Below are 18955 nucleotides of genomic sequence, written 5' to 3' on the forward strand. Positions count from 1 at the left end.
CAAAAAACTCCAAGTTTGGTGATAAGAGGCCTTACTTGAACCACCACCGTAGAATCCTGCCTCCTCACTCAATTCCCAGGTCTGATTAATTTCAGAGATTCTGAGCCCCTTAAATAAAAGGAAAGGTGCATATCCTCAAAAAAAAAGGCTGTGGTAACATGACAGGTATATACTCAACCTCCTCCCCCTCAACTTCTCCAAATAGACAGCTATTCATAGGGGTAGATGTACACATAGGGAAGGAAAGTATCTAAACCTTCGGCTTTGAAATAATGGGAGACTAGAACGCTGTCATGGATTACCAGTCAGTGGCAGCCTCATGATAAGATTATAAAGCTTTGATTCCAATTAGTCTCACATTGGGCTCTAATAAGACCCCAAACTCATCTTGTGGTTGAGTGTACAATTGGAATAAATAAGTTCAACAATTGGGATAATTTCCAAATTGACTCTCTAACCCAAGTCATGAGGGCTATTATGGTAAGAAAAGCAAATTAAGCCTTTAGAGCAGCACTGTCCAACAGAAAAATAATGTGAGCCACATGTCTAACTTTTTTTTTTTTTGAGATGGAGTCTCGCTCTGTCGCCCAGGCTGGAGTGCAGTGGCACGATCTCGGCTCACTGCAAGCTCCGCCTCTCGGGTTCACGCCATTCTCCTGCCTCAGCCTCCCGAGTACCTGGGACTACAGCCCACCACCATGCCCAGCTAATTTTTTGTATTTTTAGTAGAGATGGGGTTTCACCGTGTTAGCCAAGATGGTCTTGATCTCCTGACCTCGTGATCCACCTGCCTCAGCCTCCCAAAGTGCTGGGATTACAGGCTTGAGCCACCGCGCCCGGCAGTAGCTGCATTTTTTAAAAGTAAAAAGAAACAGGTGAAATTAATTTTAAAAGCACAGTTTACTGAATCCATGATATCTAAAATAGTATCATTTCAATATGTAGTCAATATAAAACTTATTGAGATACTTATTTTTATATGAAGTCTTCAAAATATCATCCAGGCGTGGTGGCTCACACCAGTAATCCCAGCACTTTGGGAGGCCGAGGCAGGCAGATCACTTGAGGCCAGGAGTTTGAGACCAGTCTGGCCAACATGGCAGAACCCCATCTCTACTAAAACTATAAAAATTAGCCAGGTGTGGTGGCACGTGCCTGTAGTCCCAGCTACCAGGGAGGCTCAGGCATGAGAATTGCTTGAACCTGGAAGTTGGAGGCTGCAGTGAGCCAAGATCACACCACTGCACTCCAGCCTGGGTGACAGAGCAAGACTCTGTCTCAAAAACAAAAAACAAAAAAAAAGCTAACAGGACTTGGAGGCCAGACATACCAGGTATTTTCGATGCCTTGGGTGAGACACGTACGTGCCTGAAGTGAGAGTTGAGCCCAGGAGTCGAGGCTGCAGTGAGCTATGATTACACCATTGCACTCCAGCTTGGGTGACAGAGAAAGACCCTGTTTCAAAAAAGAAAAGAAATGAGTGTTAACATCGTTCATTATTACATCTAATAACCCACTTAGATAGTTTTTCATTCTCATTTCCTCAACTATGGGCTCTGCTGGTTTAGAGGTCTTAGTAACCAATCAAAGAATATTTCCATCAGGAGACACGAAAATGATAACACTGACATCTGGGCAGATTTGAATTTGATAATTCAGTCAAACCTCAGAAATTGACTAGTAGCCATAGAGGAAAATGAGGAATGGAGAATCTTTCTGGAAAGAGTCATGGGCCTGGGACTCCCTTGTAGGAGGCTGATAACCCTGCAGGGTATCTTGCATTGTTCCTCAGGTTGCTTTAGGACTCTTAAAGCAAACCACCCTATTTTGTACTTAAAGCTTGCCCTGGGTACTTTCCCAAGCATCCAGGCCCGGGAATGACACTGTATTGGGAAATGAGCTAATTAACCACATCCCTTCTTCCTAAGCCAACTCCAGGGCAACTGCAACATCATCATAGAAGTTGCACAGGTCAATGCACAGGTGCAGTGGCTCATGCCTGTAATCCCAGCACTTTGGGAGGACAAGGCAGGCAGATCACGGGGTCAGGAGTTCGAGACCAGCCTGGCCAACATGGTGAAACCCCATCTGTACTAAAAATACAAAAAATTAGCCAGGCGTGGTGGCAGGCGCCTATAGGCCCAGCTACTCGGGAGGCTGAGGCAGGAGAATGGCCTGAACCCCGGAGGCAGAGCTTGCAGTGATCCGAGATCGTGCCACTGCACTCCAGCCTGGGCAACAGAGCGAGACTCCATCTAAAAAAAAAAAAAAATTAGCTGGGCATGGTGGTGTGTGCCTGTAATCCCAGCTACTCAGGAAGCTGAGGCAGGAGAATCGCTTGAACCCAGGAGGTGGAGGTTGCAGTGAGCCGAGATCGCGCCACTGCACTCCAGCCTGGGCGACAGAGCAAGACTCCGTCTCAAGATCAAAAGACTAGCTTTCCAACTGAGAAAAGAGACCATGGCTTGATCTCCCCAGGCTTCCTACTGTTTATTGCCAAAATCGTAGTCCTCCTTTTCTGAGAGTGAGACCATGTTCTGGTAAGTTCTCTGCGTGGAGGAGCACAGAATCTGAGTTTGCCGAGAGTAGGCTGAGAATGCCCATCCTCACTCTTCCAGTTAGTCACTCTTCCTCCCTCTGGAGGACTGTGTGAAGGAAAAGAGGAAAATGGGGGTGAACATGTCTGCCCATACTTTCTCCCCTTCTCCATGACAGTATGAAGAATGGGGAACAAGCTTTCTTCCCTCTCCACACTGCCTTTCACATTGCAACATCCTCTGAGTCTATCAGGGGCCATCAGCTGATCTGGCAATGCAATCCATTCTGATGGGAAATGGGATAGAAGGGACCGTTTTTTCCCTTTAAACATTGACAGACAATGGTCTTTGCTGTCTTCTCTAGAATAGTAGGTAACATGGCAATCACATAGGAGGGAAGACAAGTAGCCTGAAAGCGCAGATATGGTATTTGGGGACTGGCAGAATGAAATTAGATCAGCAGAGCCACAAAGGACCCCAGGGATCATTTGAGAATTTTAAAATAGGAGATATTGGGCATTGAACAATTGGTAAGAGGAACAAAAGGTGAAAGACACACAGAAGAGGCAGTAAGACGACCTGAAGCTATGAGTGAGCAGACACTATAGGGTCAGATGGAGATAAAGAGCATATTGCAGCTGGGCACAGTGGCTCACGCCTATAATCCCAGCAATTTGGGAGGCTGAGACAGGCAGATGGCTTGAGCTCAGGAGTTTGAGATCAGTGTGGGCAACATAGCAAAACCCTGTCTCTACAAAAAATACACAAAATTAGCCAGGCATGGTGGTGTGTGCCTGTGGTCCCAGCTATACATGAGGCCGAGGTGGGAGGATCACTTGAGCCAGGGATGTGGAGCCAAGATCACTCCACCACACTCCAGCCTGAGTGACAGAGTAAGACTATCTCAAAAAAAAAAAAAAAGAGAACATTTTTCAGGTAAAGAAGTGAATAGCAGAGGAAAAGACGGAGAAGCTGAATCAAAAGGATGGTGAGGCGCTAAAGCAGCCATTGGCTCCTCCTGCTGCTGAGGGAAGGGGAGTGATCACCCAATTGCTAGACCCACCCTGAATCTTGTATAACAGCCATCTTCAACCTTGTTGGCACCAGGGACCAGTTTCATGGAAGACAATTTTTCCACAGATGGGATGGTGAGTTGGGGCATGGTTTCAGGGAGATTCAAGGCGTTCTGTTTATTGTGCATTTTCTTTTTTTTTCCTTTTTTTTTTTAGTGAAATGGAGTCTCTGCCATCCACGCTGGAGTGCAGTGGCATGATCTCGGCTCACTGCAACCTCCACCTCCCGGGTTCAAGTGATTCTCCTGCCTCAGACTCCCAAGTAGCTGGGATTACAGGAACCTGCCACCACGCCCGACTAATTTATGTATTTTTAGTAGAAACGGGTTTTGACCATGTTGGTCAGGCTGGTCTCGAACTCCTGACCTCAGGTGATCCACCTGCCTTGGCCTCCCAAAGTGCTGGGATTACAAGTGTGAACCACTGTGCCCAGCCTTTATTTCTATTATTCTGACATTGTCATATATAATGAAATAATTATACAACTCACCATAATATGGACTCAGTGGGATCCCTGAGCTTGTTTTCCTACGACTAGACGGTCCCATCTGGGGGTGATGGGAAAGAGTGGCAGATCATCAGGCATTAGATTCCCATGAGGAGCTCAACTTAGATCTCTCCCACGCGCAGTTCACAATAGGGTTTGCGCTCCTATGAGAATCTAATGCTGCCGCTGAGCTGACAGAAGGCAGAGCTCAGGTGGTAATGTGAGTGATGGAGCAGGGCTGTAAATGCAGATGGAGCTTTGTTTGCTCACCTGCTGCTCACCTCCTCCTGTGCTGCCCAGCTCCTAACAGGCCACAGACGGGTACTGGTTGGGGATCCCTGCTGTGTAATCTTCCCATTATCAAACTATGTTCTAGGCCCGGGGGATGGGGGAGGATAGTTGTTGAGCTGCATAAAGGTTCATTAGAGACCTGGCTGTATGGCCAGCACTCTGCCTTATACGTGTACCTTCATAAACCATCAATGTTCAAAGCAATCTGGATAAACCTCTCTGTACCTTACAACCCAAAGATCCTAACAGATTAGCTTTTCCTCTGGCAATTGCACTCTGCACAAACTGTGTAAATTAGTACTAAAACTTTTGATCCACTAGTTTTTATCTCCCAGTTGTAAGACCTGAGGTCTTTTTGATTAGCCCAGAATTCACTGTGGTCATTTCTCCCATCCCAAATAATCAGTGTTGCAGCGTTAGAAGCCTCACTGTTTACCCTAACAACTCCCTCCACTTTTTTCCCCCCGGCCCTCCTAGAAAGGACTCCTTGGGCAGTAGGTACATCCATGTCTAGTGTCTGTCTTGAGATCTGAGAATGTCATGAGCGGTCAAGATGACTGAGCACCTACAACACAACTCTCTGCTCACAGGAAGTAAAGCACCTGGGTAGAAAATAGGTGTGTTGATGGGTGGAGATAAGTCAAATGGAGAGAAAACAAGAACATACCTGATTAGCTGGGAACTATAACCTCTAGTTACACTCTGATTGCCCCAACCTACTTCTACTCTACTTCCTCACCCTCCTCACCCCTTTTCTTTTCTTTCCTTCTTTCTTTTTTTCTTTTCTTTTTTTTTTTTTTTTTTTTTTTTTTTTTTTTGAGATGGAGTCTCTCGCTCTGTCACCCAGGCTGGATTACAGTTGTGCAATCTCAGCTTACTGCAACCTCTGCCTCCCAGGTTCAAGCAATTCTCCTGCCTCAGCCTACTGAGTAGCTGGGATTACAGGCTCATGCCACCATGCCTGGCTAATTTTTGTACTTTTAGTAGAGACGGGGTTTCCCCATATTGGTCAGGCTGGTCTCGAACTCGTGACCTCGTGATCCACCCACCTCAGCCTCCCAAAGTGCTGAGATTACAGGCATGAGCCACCGTGCCCAGCTCCTCACCCCTTTTCTGCTCTCTGCTACTCCTCTCCTCTCTCCTTCTCCCTGATCTCCTTGCTCTCTTCTACCCCCATTTTTCTTTTCTTTTCTTTGCTTTTTCTTTTGGAGAAAAATAAAAGAAGGCTTTTCGCTCTGTCACCCAGGCTGGAGTACAGTGGCACAATCTTAGCTCACCGCAACCTCTACCTCCCAGGTTCAAGCAATTCTCATGCCTCAGCCTCCCCAGTAGCTGGGATTACAGGCACCCACCACCATGCCCGACTAATATATGTATTTTTAGTAGAGACGGGGTTTTGCCATGTTTGCCAGACTGGTCTCGAACTCCTTACCTCGAGTGATCCGCCCACCTTGGCCTCCCAAAGTGCTGGGATTACAGGCATGAGCCACTGCTCCTGGCCTACCCCCATTTTTCTTCAGGACCCTGGGAGGTACAAGTAAACCACAAGGAAACATTGGCAGGACCCAATCCTCTCTTCCAAAAAGTCTCCAGTGACAAAAGGATGAATTTTTCACAGTTAGGCACAAACGTATTTTTTCACCTATAAAGTTGGCAAAGTTTGAAAGCCCATTTTATTTACAAAAGTGTGGGAAAGTGAGCACTCTCCTACATTTGCTGGTGGAAGCAGAAATTGGCACAAACTCTGTATGAAAATTATAAATACACATGCCCACTTTGGGAGGCCAAGGCGGGCAGATCACGAGGTCAGGAGATCGAGACCATCCCGGCTAACACGGTGAAACCCTGTCTCTACTAAAAATACAAAAAAAAACAAAAATTAGCCAGGCGTGGTGGCGGGCGCCTGTAGTCCCAGCTACTTGGGAGGCTGAGGCAGGAGAATGGCGTGAACCCGGGAGGCGGAGCTTGCAGTGAGCCGAGATCGTGCCACTGCACTCCAGCCTGGGTGACAGAGCCAGACTCTGTCTCAAAAAAAAAAAAAATAAATAAAAAATAAATAAATAAATACACATGCCTTTTGACCTAACAGTTCTACTTCTAGGAATTCATTCTACAGATGTACATGTAGCAAACTGAACTTTAATCTTTTTCTTTCAGGGAATATCCATTAAAGATGGCTCTAATGAGGAAGTAGCATTCTTTGGAATTCTCTGCAGCCCACGATATGAGATGTCTCCTGCTGTAGTCAATGACTGAGCACGGTGGCTCACGCCTGTAATCCAGCATTTTGGGAGGCCGAGGTGCGTGGATCACTTAAAGCCAGGAGTTCAAGACCAGCCTGGCCAACAGGGTGAAACCCTGTCTCTACTAAAAATATAAAAATTAGCTGGATGTGGTGGCATATGCCTGTAATCCCAGCTACCTGGGAGGCTGAGTCAGGAAAATCACTTGAACCTGGTAGGTAGAGGTTGCAGTGAGCTGAGATTGTGCCACTGCACTCCAGCCTGAGCAACAGAGTGAGACTCAGTCTTAACAAAAAAAAAAAAAAGGAAGGAAGGAAGAAAAAGAAAGAAAGAAAGAGAGAAAGGAAGGAAGGAAGGAAAGAAGAAAAGAAAGGAAGAAAGGAAGAAAAAAGAAAGAAAGAAAGAAAGAAGAAAGAAAGAAAGAAAGAAAGAAAAGAAAGAAAGAAAGAAAGAAAGAAAATGATGTAGGTAGGTGATATCTCCCCAGTCAAACCTTCCCCTGATTTCTCCAATAAAACGACACAAATACCACCTCACTATATCCCTTACAGATTGCAGTTGAAGAACTCAAGCTATTCACCAACTGTTCTGCTTTCTGATGAATGAGTATGAGAGGATTATGACTGTGTAATATGAGATATTGGGCAAGAAGTGATTAAAAAGCAGTATCTCAAGTTACTCTTGCTGCAGAAGCATGTAACACTGTTGCCCAGGAAATACCAGAGCATTGTGCACATGGAGGAGTCATTTTCAGTTCCGATCTCAAGCAGGAAGGAACTCCTCCAGACAGAGGGGCTTTAAACCTCCTTTTCTTGGCCACCACATATATGAATACAGTCACTAGAGGAGAAAAATCCCAGCAGATTACATGCTCACAGCCCTCGGGTTGGAGATTCAGAGCATTCAGCCTCACTCAGCTATTCTCAGACTCAGCATCCAAACACTGCAGCTTCAGCTTGTGCAGAAAGATGATGCTGAGTAATAAGATCCTATAGAAACAGGCAGACATCCCAGTGCAGGGCATCCTGTGTGAGACCAGGAGACATGGGCTGCCCACAAACAATTAGACCCAACCTGCCCCACTGGTTTAGGGTAATCACTGGCATCATCTGAAGAGGAGCAGGAGTTGGAGATCAGAACCCACTGTGGGTTTTTTGTTTTTTTTTTTTGCTTTTTGAGACAGAATGTCACTCTTGTCGCTCAGGCTGGAGTGCAGTGTCACAATCTTGGCTCACTGTAACCTCTGCTTCCTGGGTTCAAGTGATTCTCCCACCTCAGCCTTCTAAGTAACTGGGATTACAGGCTCCTGCCATCATGCCAGGCTAATTTTTGTATTTTTAGTAGAAACGGGGTTTCACCATGTTGGCCAGGCTGGTCTCCAACTCCTTACCTCAGGTGATCCGCCCGCCTCAGCCTCCCAAAGTGCTGGGATTACAGACGTAAGCCACTGCTCCCGGCCTCACTGTGGGTTTTTTTTAACTAGTGTGTAGTACAGCCCTTTTTCAGTCACTTTCAGCATTTCATTATGATGTCTTTACAAAGTTTTGAGGTTGGTGAATTCCAAGACAATGTTAGAATCTTCTAGAAAAATAAAGATAAGTACCGCCTTTTACCAATTTCTTACCATTGTTTGTGCCACACATTACAACAGCTCTTCATTTAAGGTGGGGGAGGATACGATATTGAGTTGAAACATCATGGCAGTTTCTGTTTTATGTTGGACAAGCCTTCTGTGCATTGTCTTGTCTGTAGTGCCAATTTTTATGGTTCGATGGTGTATTTACAGACATGACAATAATGGTGGTGGTGGGATGGAACAGAATAATGTTGGGTTCTGGAGTGCCTGGATAGCAGGGAAATAATTCAGACAGAAAAATAGCAAGGCCAAAAATAAATTGTGCACTTGAGAGGCTGAAAGAGAATGAGATATGAATCCCTGACTGTAATTGTAGTTGTGTTCACTGTGAGGACAGGTGTTTGCCCTCTGATAATAAGTAGACTTTAATCCTAGGTGTGAGTGCTAGCCACTGTCAACAGGGGTGGCTCCAGATAAATCCAAAGTAATTGCCCAAGACACAACATCAGCCCACAACCAAATTCTCACACTGGAGAGTTACATGACTGGTGGATACAGCTCATTAGGTAATAGTCAAGGCACTGGTTCTTCCCAGTCAACAAACATCCTCTAAATGCTTCAGGAGCCAGCAAGGCAAGCTGTTCCAGCCATGGAGAGGTGTGGCTCTGGTGTGCGGTGACACACTGTGAACACCCAAGCTATGCAGTGCTGATTAGTTGGGTAATGGATGAATGAGTCAAAGATCACGCTTCCCAGTTTGTCAGCTGCTTGGTAGCTCCCAGGGACTGGCTCCAGTCTGTCACTGGCTCCATGCAAGCAAGCAATCCTGGGGCTGATTGTGAGCCACAGAGTCACTGTCAAGACCGGAGTTTCAGTGTAGTAGGTGGAGAGGAAGGATAAAGAACCATCTGACTCGCAACCTTCAGTCTAGAGAGGAGGATTCGGTCAGAGGCTACGTTTTCCTGAGCATCTTCCTTTTCTTCAGGGCATTGTGAATATGTGATGACAGCCCAAGGCAAGAAGCAAAGCAAGAGTCTGATCCCATGCACTAGGTATCCCAAGGCTAGAGGGGGAGGTCTTCAGCCTGAGTCATCAGCTCAGGCAATGTATGAAGTCTTGCCTATAAGACATGACCACCACTGTTGAGACTTGTCACATTGCCAATCAAAAGTTCTGGGATGGGGGGTTGGCAGGTGGCGAGCTTTCCTTCCAATCCCCAGTGTTCCAGGAAGAACAAAGGAATCATATACTCTCAGCTTTAAATCCTGGCTAAATTTCTCAATAATTGAATGACTACAGACAAAGAATTAATATGTGAGTCTCAATTTCTTATCTGTAAATATAATATCCACATTGTAGGGCTGTTCTGAATATTACATTAAATTAGATACATAAAGCTCCCAACACAGTAGCTAGTACAAGTAGAAGCTCCATAAATGACAATTTCTATCTCTGGGACTAGTGAATCTCAGAGTTAGAAAAATGTAAAAAGTCATCCAAGAAAACCTTCCTTCAATTAGCCGGGCATGGTGGCACGTGTCTGTAGTCCCAGCTACTCAGGAGGCTGAGGCAAGAGAATGGCTTGAACCTGGGAGACAGAGGTTGCAGTGAGCCAAGATTGCGTCACTGCACTCCAGCCTGTGCGACAGAGTGAGACTCTGTCTCAAAAAAAACAAACAAACAAGCAAACAAAAAAAACAAACAAAAAAAAAAAAATACAAACCCCAAACCAAACCAAACAAAAAACCCTCCTTCAGAATTTCTGTTGTCAGAATTTCCTATGCCACCTCTAAGACATGGGCCATTCAGCCTCTGTTTTGAATCCATCGAAGGCAAGAGGGATCTTCTTCAGCAGTTCTGAGGGTCTTGCCGAAATTGAGCTGAAACATAATTCTCAGGGGCTTCTACTATTTGAAATAGTGATACCTTGCCATATGCAGGACAAGTGCTTTCAGTTGTACAGACTGCACATTGCTCAGCTGTGGGCGTCTGCTGCTTTTCACGTAGACTACTGTGTAAACAGTGTCCCTGGAGTTGGGCAGTGTGATGGCCCTATCAATGTGATAATCATTCAAATATTTGGGGTCAACCTCACACTCATTTGAGTCTTCTCCAATGAAAACACTCATAATTCCTCTGTCAAGCCTCATCTGGCAAGTTTTGGTTTTCCATCACTCTAGTGACTCTTCTTTGAATGCTCAACTGTGTGACACCTGGATCTGGGCACAATGCATTAATCATCTTCTGGCCAGTTTGGAATAGTGAGATTCACTTTTCACACCTCATGCTGCTATGTTCTCCTACCTCCACCCCACCCTGCATTTTATAATTTGCTTTGTTACTTTAGTTCTCATTTAATCCAAGAACAGGACTTTACATTGGCAAAGATTACTCAAGACTCACAGGACCAAGGGCAGAGTTTTTTTTTTTTTTTTCCAGTCTTAGAAAATTCCCTCCAACTTGACATTGATTCTTTTTTCTTTATTTCTTTTCTTTTCTTTTTGTTTGTTTGTTTTTAAAATTTTCATTGCGCTAGCATGCAGCTAAGATGTCTCTATCTTGACCCCAATTTTATTACGGGAGACTCTGTTTAGTTTTTTGGTCAAGTTATTTATTTCTTCAGCCAACATTCATTGAGCACCTGCTGTGTCTTGGCACTGTACCAGATACTTGCCGTAGATGCCGTGTTGTGGCGGTAAGTGTTTTAACAGCTGACTACCCAGAAGAAAAAAAAACCCTAGTTTGTTTGTAATGTTTGCTGATTTCCATGGCATAACTACTTCCTACCATGGCAGATTTCAAACTACCAAGGTGATGTCATTGAACACAGAGTTGGAAAGAGATGTATATGCATAAACAGCTCTTGTGAGCCAGCATGAGGCGACCCCAGCACACCACTGATAATTTACAGATGAGCCACATAATTCTGCCTTAGGAAAGCTCCATGAGGTTCTTATAATCTGGTGATGCACAGAGTCCATCTCTCCTCTAAATCTACCATGGAGAAACCATGTCAAAGGAGGAAATAACATTTGTCTGACATGATTTGTTCTCAGAGCACCTGTACTGTTTCATAATTGCAAAGGATTCTTTTACGTGCTTGGGAACCATTCCTTTCATATTTCATTTGAAATTATTTTCAGGCCGGGCACGGTGGCTCATGCCTGTCATACCATCACTTTGGGAGGCTGAGGTGGCTGGATCACCTGATGTCAGGAGTTCGAGGCCAGCCTGGCCAACATGGCAAAACCCCTTCTGTACTAAATATACAAAAATTAGCCAGGCGTGGTGGTGGACGCCTGTAATCCCAGCTACTTGGGTGGCTGAGGCAGGAGAATCGCTTGAACCTGGGAGACAGAGGTTGCAGTGAGCCAAGATCATGCCACTGCACCCCAGCCTGGGAGACTGGAAGCAATGTCAATCTCATTCACCTATAGTTTAGGGGATCTACCTTCTCCCTTCAAAAAACTGTACACTGTTTGCCCATTTCTAGTCTTCTAACACTTTGACTATTCTCCATACATCCTCAAAGCTCTCTTTGAGCAACCTGGAAATCTCATTCCTAAATTCTTTCAGTATCTTGCGGCAAATTCTGTTCCAAAACTGGAGCCCAGCACTCATTCACGTGGAGAGTTAATGTACTTCCCTCTTCACCTATCTTGAGCTTTGAGTCTAACCAATGTAGAGTCTTCTCTTTTGGATCCAAAGATCTTTCTACCTGATGAGAAAGACAGAAGGAAAATAAGGATAAGGGTTTTTTTCTTCATGTTTCCATGGCACAAAATCTTTGTTAACTGTAACAGTCAGATGATGGCACCCTGAAGATGTCCATGTCCTGATCTCCTGGTCAGGAGTGATGTGTTATGTGACATGAGAATATGTTATGTTACACAGTGAGAAGGAATTAAGGTTGTACGTGGTATTAAGCTTGCTAAACAGCAGACCTTAAGATAAGGAGGTCACACTGGACTCTCCAAGTGAGCCCAATTTAATCACAAAGATCCCTTGAATGTAGAAGACAGAGGAAGAAAAGATGTAAAGATGCTATGCTGCTGACTTTGAAGATGGAAGAAGGGGCCAAGACACAAGGAATGCAGGCAGCCCCTAGAAGCTAAAAAGGGAAGAACATGACTTCTCTTCTAGAGCCCCCGGAAGGAATGCAAGGCCAGGCATGGTGGCTGATGTCTGTAATCCAGCACTTTGGGGGGCCAAGGCAGGCGGATCGCTTGAGCCTAGGAATTTGAGACCAGCCTGGGCAACATGGCAAAACCCCATCTCTACAAAAAACACAAAAATTAGCCAGGCATGGTGGCACGTGCTGGCAGTCCCAGCTACTCAGGAGGCTGAGGCATGAGAATAACCTGAGCCCAGAGAGATGGAGGCTGCCGTGAGCAGTGATCGTACCACTGCACCCCAGTCTGGGCAACAGAGTGACACCCTGTCTCAAAAAACAAAACAAAACAAGCCGGGCGCGGTGGCTCACGCCTGTAATCCCAGCACTCTGGGAGGCCGAGATGGGTGGATCATGAAGTCAGGAGTTCAAGACCAAGCCTGGTCAACATGGTGAAACCCTGTCTTGACTGAAAATATAAAAAATTAGCCAGGTATGATAGCGGGTGCCTGTAATAACAGCTACTCAGGAGGCCGAGGCAGGAGAATCGCTTGAACCTGGGAGGCAGAGTTTGCAGTGAGTGGAGATTGCACTATTGCACTCCAGCCTGGGCGACAGTGCGAGACTCCATCTCAAAAAAAAAAACAAAAACAAAAACAAAAAAACCAAATAAACAAAAAACAGAAGGAAGGCAGTCCTGTTGACTCCTTGATTTTAACCTAGTGAGGCCCATTTTAGACTTCTGACCTCCAGAATTGTAGATCACACATTTGTATTGTTAAGCTACCAAGTTTGTGGTGATTTGATACAGCAGCAGTAGAAAACTCATACACAAACCCATTCCTGATCTCCTTCTCCCTTGCTGTCTTCCACTCTAGAAGCTGGAGAACCTAATGCTTGCTGTGTCAGCAGGTCTGTGCTTTCCGAGTCCACATGATGGTCACCCAGATACCACTTTCACCAACATATGGTGTGCTGGAGATCCAGAGGACCTTGACTATGGAAGAAAGTGCTTTGGCTGTCAAGACACACCCAGTGGCAGAGGAGAAGATAATGCTTCTCCTCTATAGTGTTGTGCTCAGCTGCAGCCACATCTAGTGTGGGAAATTTCTGCCACACAGCTCTATCTGTAGGTGACACATGGACACAGCCTCTTCCCAAGGTGTCTTCGTATAGGGCTAGAGTGCTACATGCGGAGATATTTCTAAACATAGTCACACATTTTACCTGTAACTCCCTTTCCCTACCATCTCAGTGTCCTAGCCCCTGAGAGCAGAAGTCCCATCGTATCCCAATTCTAAGATCCACCACGTTTTCTAGCTCAAAATTAGTGTTTCTGCTGGGTGCGGTGGCTCACGCCTGTAATCCCAGCACTTTGGGAGGCTGAGGCGGGTGGATCACCTGAGGTCAGGAATTCGAGACCAGCCTGACTAACATGGTGAAACCCCATCTCTACCAAAATTACAAAATTAGCAGGGCGTGGTGGCACATGCCTGCAATCCCAGCTACTTGGGTAACTGAGGCAGGAGAATTGCTTGAACTTGGGAGGTGGAGGTTGCAGTGAGCCGAGATTGTGCCATTGCACTCCAACTTGGGCAGCAAGAGTGAAACTCCCTCTCAAAAATAAATAAATAAATAAAAATACATTAGTGTTGTTTTCAGAGGAAAAAAACCCACCTTATTACAGCAAAAGTGCATTTTTGTTTCCTAATCCCCATAAAGAAATTAACCCCTCAGTACCTCAAGCCATAGTTTCTTTCTCTTATGATTCTTATGCATTTAACTTCCTTTTTTGATCAGTATTGCTTCTCTACCTTTCCTCTCACAACCACCATAAAGCTGTCGGCAAAGCAAAGCGAGGAGTTTGCCACAGGCTCTGGTTTTATGTGTATGAAAATTTCAGTGGAGTGTGGACTGTTTATGTACTTCCATATCATTCTTTACTTCCCTCCAGCTAGGAGTGTAGTGGCGTGATCTCGGCTCACCACAACCTCTGCCTTGCAGGTTCAATCTATTCTCCTGCCCCAGCCTCCCGAGTAGCTGGGATTAGAGGCATGCACCATCATGCCCGGCTACTTTTTGTATTTTTAGCAGAGACGGAGTTTCACTATGTTGGCGAGGCTGGTCTCGAACTCCTGACCTCATGATCCGCCCACCTCGGCCTCCCAAAGTGCTGGGATTACAGGCATGAGCCACCGCGCCTGGCCAAGACTGCATTTCTTGTCCACCAGGACAGTACTTGTGTTGTTCTTCCTTTTAGCCTTACTATATGCCCTCTGTATCTCTGGCCTAAGGTGATTGATTTCCATCCACCATAAATATTCCCTTGAAGGGTTCTGTTCTCTTCCATCTCTGTGTTCCATTCTTAAGTTTCATGCCTCAGAGTCTCAGCAACTGAGGTCACTCAGTTTCTTACTCATGCTCTGAACTTAGGTACACACTCTTTGTTACTCATTAATATGTTCTAGGTGCCATGGGGAAATCCAAGATGCTTCATGTGACAGGAATCCTGCCTTGTGGTTCACAGTCCAGTTGAGAGATGATTATTTAACCACTAGGAGAAAAAGAAGTAGTGCCTGCTCAAAGAAAGGGATTGATAAAATGCAATGGGTGGTCAGAGGGGGACAGAGGGCACTTCTAATTTAAAGACAGACCTCAAGGAGGAGGGACTTCTAAGCCAGACCCGGAGAAGTATAAACAACTTAAAGGTGGCCGGGCGTGGTGGCTCACGCTGTAATCCCAGCACTTTGGGAGGTGGAGGGGGGCGGATCACTTGAGGTCAGGAGTTTGAGACCATCCTGGCCAACAATGGTGAAACCCCGTCTCTACTAAAAATACAAAAATTAGCTGGGTGTGGTGGCACGTGCCTGTAATCCCAGCTACTCAGGAGGCTGAGGCAGGAGAATAGCTTGAACCAGGGAGTCAAAGGTTGAGGTGAGCCGAGATCGCGCCACTGCACTCCAGCCTGGTGACAGAACAAGACTCTGTCTCAAAAAAAAAAAAAAGAAAGAAAGAAAATTAGCCAGCATGGTTGTGCGCACCTGTAATCCCAGCTACTCAGTTGGTTGAGCCAGGAGAATTGCTTGAACCCGGGAGGCAGAGGTTGTAGTGAACCGAGATCGCACCACCGCACTCCCGCCTGGGTGACAGAGCGAGACTCGTCTCAAAACAACAAACAAAAAACTTAAAGATATGAAGAAAGGGGTGGGTGTCATTGCAGGCAGAGGAGACTGTCATGTGTATGAAACGTGCAGAGGTGTGATAAGGCTGGTGTGTCCATGGAGAAGAATGAAGTTCAGCTTGAACAGGCACAGGCTGGTGTGCAGGGGTGGTGGTGGCGGGAACACCTTGATCTTGGACTGCCAGACTGGGCGACATAGTGAGACCCCATCTCTACCAAAACATTTTTTAAACTGCCAGCAGCAGCTGGATGTGGTAGCTCAAGCCTGAAATCCCAGCACTTTGGGAGGCCGGGGTGGGTGGATCACTTGGGGTCAGGAGTTCAAGACCAGCCTGGCCAACATGATGAAACCCCATCTCTACTAAAAATACAAAAAATAGCTGGGTGTGGTGGCTCATGCCTGTAGCCCCAGCTACTGGGAGGCTGAGGCAGGAGAATCACTTGGACCCAGGAGGCAGAGGTTGCAGTGAGCCAGGATCGTGCCACTGCACTCCAGCCTGGGCAACTGGCAATACTCCATCTCAAACAAACAAACAAAAAAACTGCCAGCAGCTTGATCTTGGCATCACTTATCACCACTGATGGGCAACACAGAGCTGAGAAAATGGCAGTGGAGCTGAGAAAATGGCAGTGGAGCCAAGAATAAAGGCAAGAGTAAGGCTCAGAAGGAAGGGGAGGTAGGGAGCTCCCCAAGGTCTTGCAACACAGCCTGGCTATGAGTGAGTCCCCCTCCCTCCCCCAGCAGATCCTGCAGAGAAGACATCATCTCTTTCCTGGTGACAGTGCCTATCTTCCAGGACACAGCTGCCTCTTCAAAGCTAAGGCAAATCTTGTGCTGGAACCAAAGCCCCATCTGTTGGACTCCTCTACCCAGACCATTTGCCAAAATGATGGAATAGGGCCAGGCCTGCCAAGAGGTCCTCAGAGGGTATCTAGGTGAAGCCCCTCTCTCTACCAAAGAGGGAAGTTAGGCCTATGGATAGGGAGGGATTTGCCCAAGGTCATTTATCTAGCAAGTAGCTGCAGTAAAACTTGATGCCAGCCCTTCTTACACAAGATGTAGGTTAAGAGAGCATTAGCCTTAAGCCAGACTACACGGGTCCAAATCCTGGCTGCTTCTGTGTCGGCTGAGAGGTTTGACCAACTTCGTTAAACTCTTTCAGATTCAGCTGCCCTTTTACTTTTTAATCTTTATTTTATTTTGTTTGTTTGTTTGTTTGTTTTTTGAGACAGGGTCTTGCTCTGTCACCCAGGCTGGAATGCAATGGCACGACCATGGCTGACTGCAGCCTTGACCCCCTGGGCTCAAGTAATCCTCCTACCTCAGCCTCCAGAGTAGCTAGGACTACAGGCACATGCCACCATGCCCGACTAATTTTTAAAAAATTTTGGTAGAGATGGGGTCTCACTATGTTGCCCAGTCTGGTCTTGAACTCCTGGGCTCAAGTGATCCTCCAGCCTCAACCTCCCAAAGCACTGTTTCCCAATTAAATGAAATAATAAATGAAAATCACTTAACATAATGACTGCATATAATAAGGGCTCAACACGTTAGTGAAAAAAAATGCCTGATTACTTTTCTCTACCTTCTGCAATAAAGACCTCCCAGTCCCAGTTCTTTCCCCTAGAACAAACTACTAAGTAGATATTAGATTTCCCTAGAGCTGGTCATAGGTATCACTCCTTTGGTTTTGCTCAAAGCAGAGAGCATTCTTGTTTGATACCATTATTAACACTAGGTGGGTATCTTTTTTTTTTTTTTTGAGACGGAGTCTCACTCTGTCACCTAGGCTGGAGTGCAGTGGTACTGTATCAGCTCACTGTAACCTCTGTCTCCTGGGTTCAAGCAGTTCTCCTGCCTCAGCCTCCCAAGTAGGTGGGATTACAGGCACCCACCACCAGGCCTGGCTAATTTTTTTAAAAAATATTTTGGGTAGAGACAGGGTTTCACCATGTTGGCCAGGCTGGTCTCGAACTTCTGACCTCAGGTTATCTGCCTGCCTCGGCCTCCCAAAGTGTTGGGATTACAGGCGTGAGCAACTGCGCCCAGCCATGGGTATCTTTTAATAGTGGTCCAGGCCGTCTTCCCACAGACACAGTGAACTGTAACTAACAGGATGTGCTTGTGTAAGTTGCATTATTGGCAGCAGAGGCAAAATTGTGGCCACACGAGAGAGGCGTCAGTTACTCTGCATTTTAACTTTCTTTTATCTTAGCTAATTTTAAAAGATTCCTTATTTCCATTAAGAAAGAAATTATGCTTATTATAATATGTTCAAACAAAAATGCATAATTTAAAAGTTAAGCTGGGCGTGGTGGCTCGTGCCTGTAATCCCAGCACTTTGGGAGGCCAAGGTGGGCAGATCACCTGAGGTCAGGAGTTTGAAACAATCCTGGCCAACATGGCGTAATCCTGTCTCTACTAAAAATACAAAAATTAGCCAGGTGTGGTGGTGTGTGCCTGTAATCCCAGCTACTCGGGAGGCCGAGGCAGGAGAAACACTTGAACCTGGGAGGTGGAGGCTGCAGTGAGCCGAAATTTTGCCACTGCACTCCAGCCTTAGCGACAGAGCGAGATATGATCTCTAAACAAACAAACGAGCAAACAAAAAACAAAAACAAAAAATAAAAGTTAAGGCTGGGCATGGTGGTTTATGCCTGTAATCCTAGCATTTTGGGAGGCCGAGGCCGGCAAATCACTTGAGCCCAGGAGTTTGAGACCAGCCTGGGGAAGATGGCAAGACCTCATCTCTACGAAAAACACAAAAATTAGTCAGACATGGTAGCACATGCCTGTAGTCCCTTAGGAGGCTGAGATGGGAAAATCCCTTGAGTCCAGGAGGCGGAGGTTATAGTGAGCTTTGATTGTGCCACTGCACTTCAGCCTGGGAACAGAGAGAGACTCTGACTTAAAAAAATTTAAAAAAAGTTAAAAGTCCCTTATATAGCCACCCATTCAGAAGTAACCTCAGCTAGAGTATGATGGATTTTCTTCCAGTTTTGAGCTGGGCCAGGTGGCTCACGCCTGCAGTCTCAGCTATTAAGGAGGCTGAGGCAGGAGGACTGCTTGAGCCCAGGAGTTCCAGACCCGTCTGAGCAATACGGTGAGACCCCCATCTCTTAAAAAAATTTAAAAATTACATATTTTCTTCAAGTTTTATTTTATTACATCCTATTTGCTAGGGCTGCCTTAATAAAATACCCCAGACCAGTTACTCCAAAAACAGGATTTATTTTCTCACAGTTGTGGAGGCTGGCAGTGCAAGATCACGGTGTTGAGAGGGCTGGTTTCTTCTCAGGCCTCTCTCCTTGGCTTTTGGGTGGCCGCGTCCTCTCCCTGTGTCCTCACATGGTCTTCCCTCTGTGTGAGTCTGTGTCCTAATCTCCTTTTCTTATAAAGACACCAGTCCTGTTAGATTACGGCCCACTCTAATGACCTCATTTACCCTTAATTAC

At 45.9% G+C, this 18955-nt stretch overlaps 1 annotated feature.

The window, feature by feature from the left end:
• Window positions 5488-5557: an enhancer, noted in NCBI's record as "active region_28802". NCBI's record gives its function as "activates an Ori minimal core promoter by ATAC-STARR-seq in GM12878 lymphoblastoid cells {active_cell/tissue: GM12878}" and the evidence as "EXISTENCE:reporter gene assay evidence [ECO:0000049][PMID:35858748]".

The sequence above is a fragment of the Homo sapiens genome, chromosome 9 (genome assembly GCF_000001405.40).
Source record: "Homo sapiens chromosome 9, GRCh38.p14 Primary Assembly".
NCBI classification, from domain to species: Eukaryota; Metazoa; Chordata; class Mammalia; order Primates; family Hominidae; genus Homo; species Homo sapiens.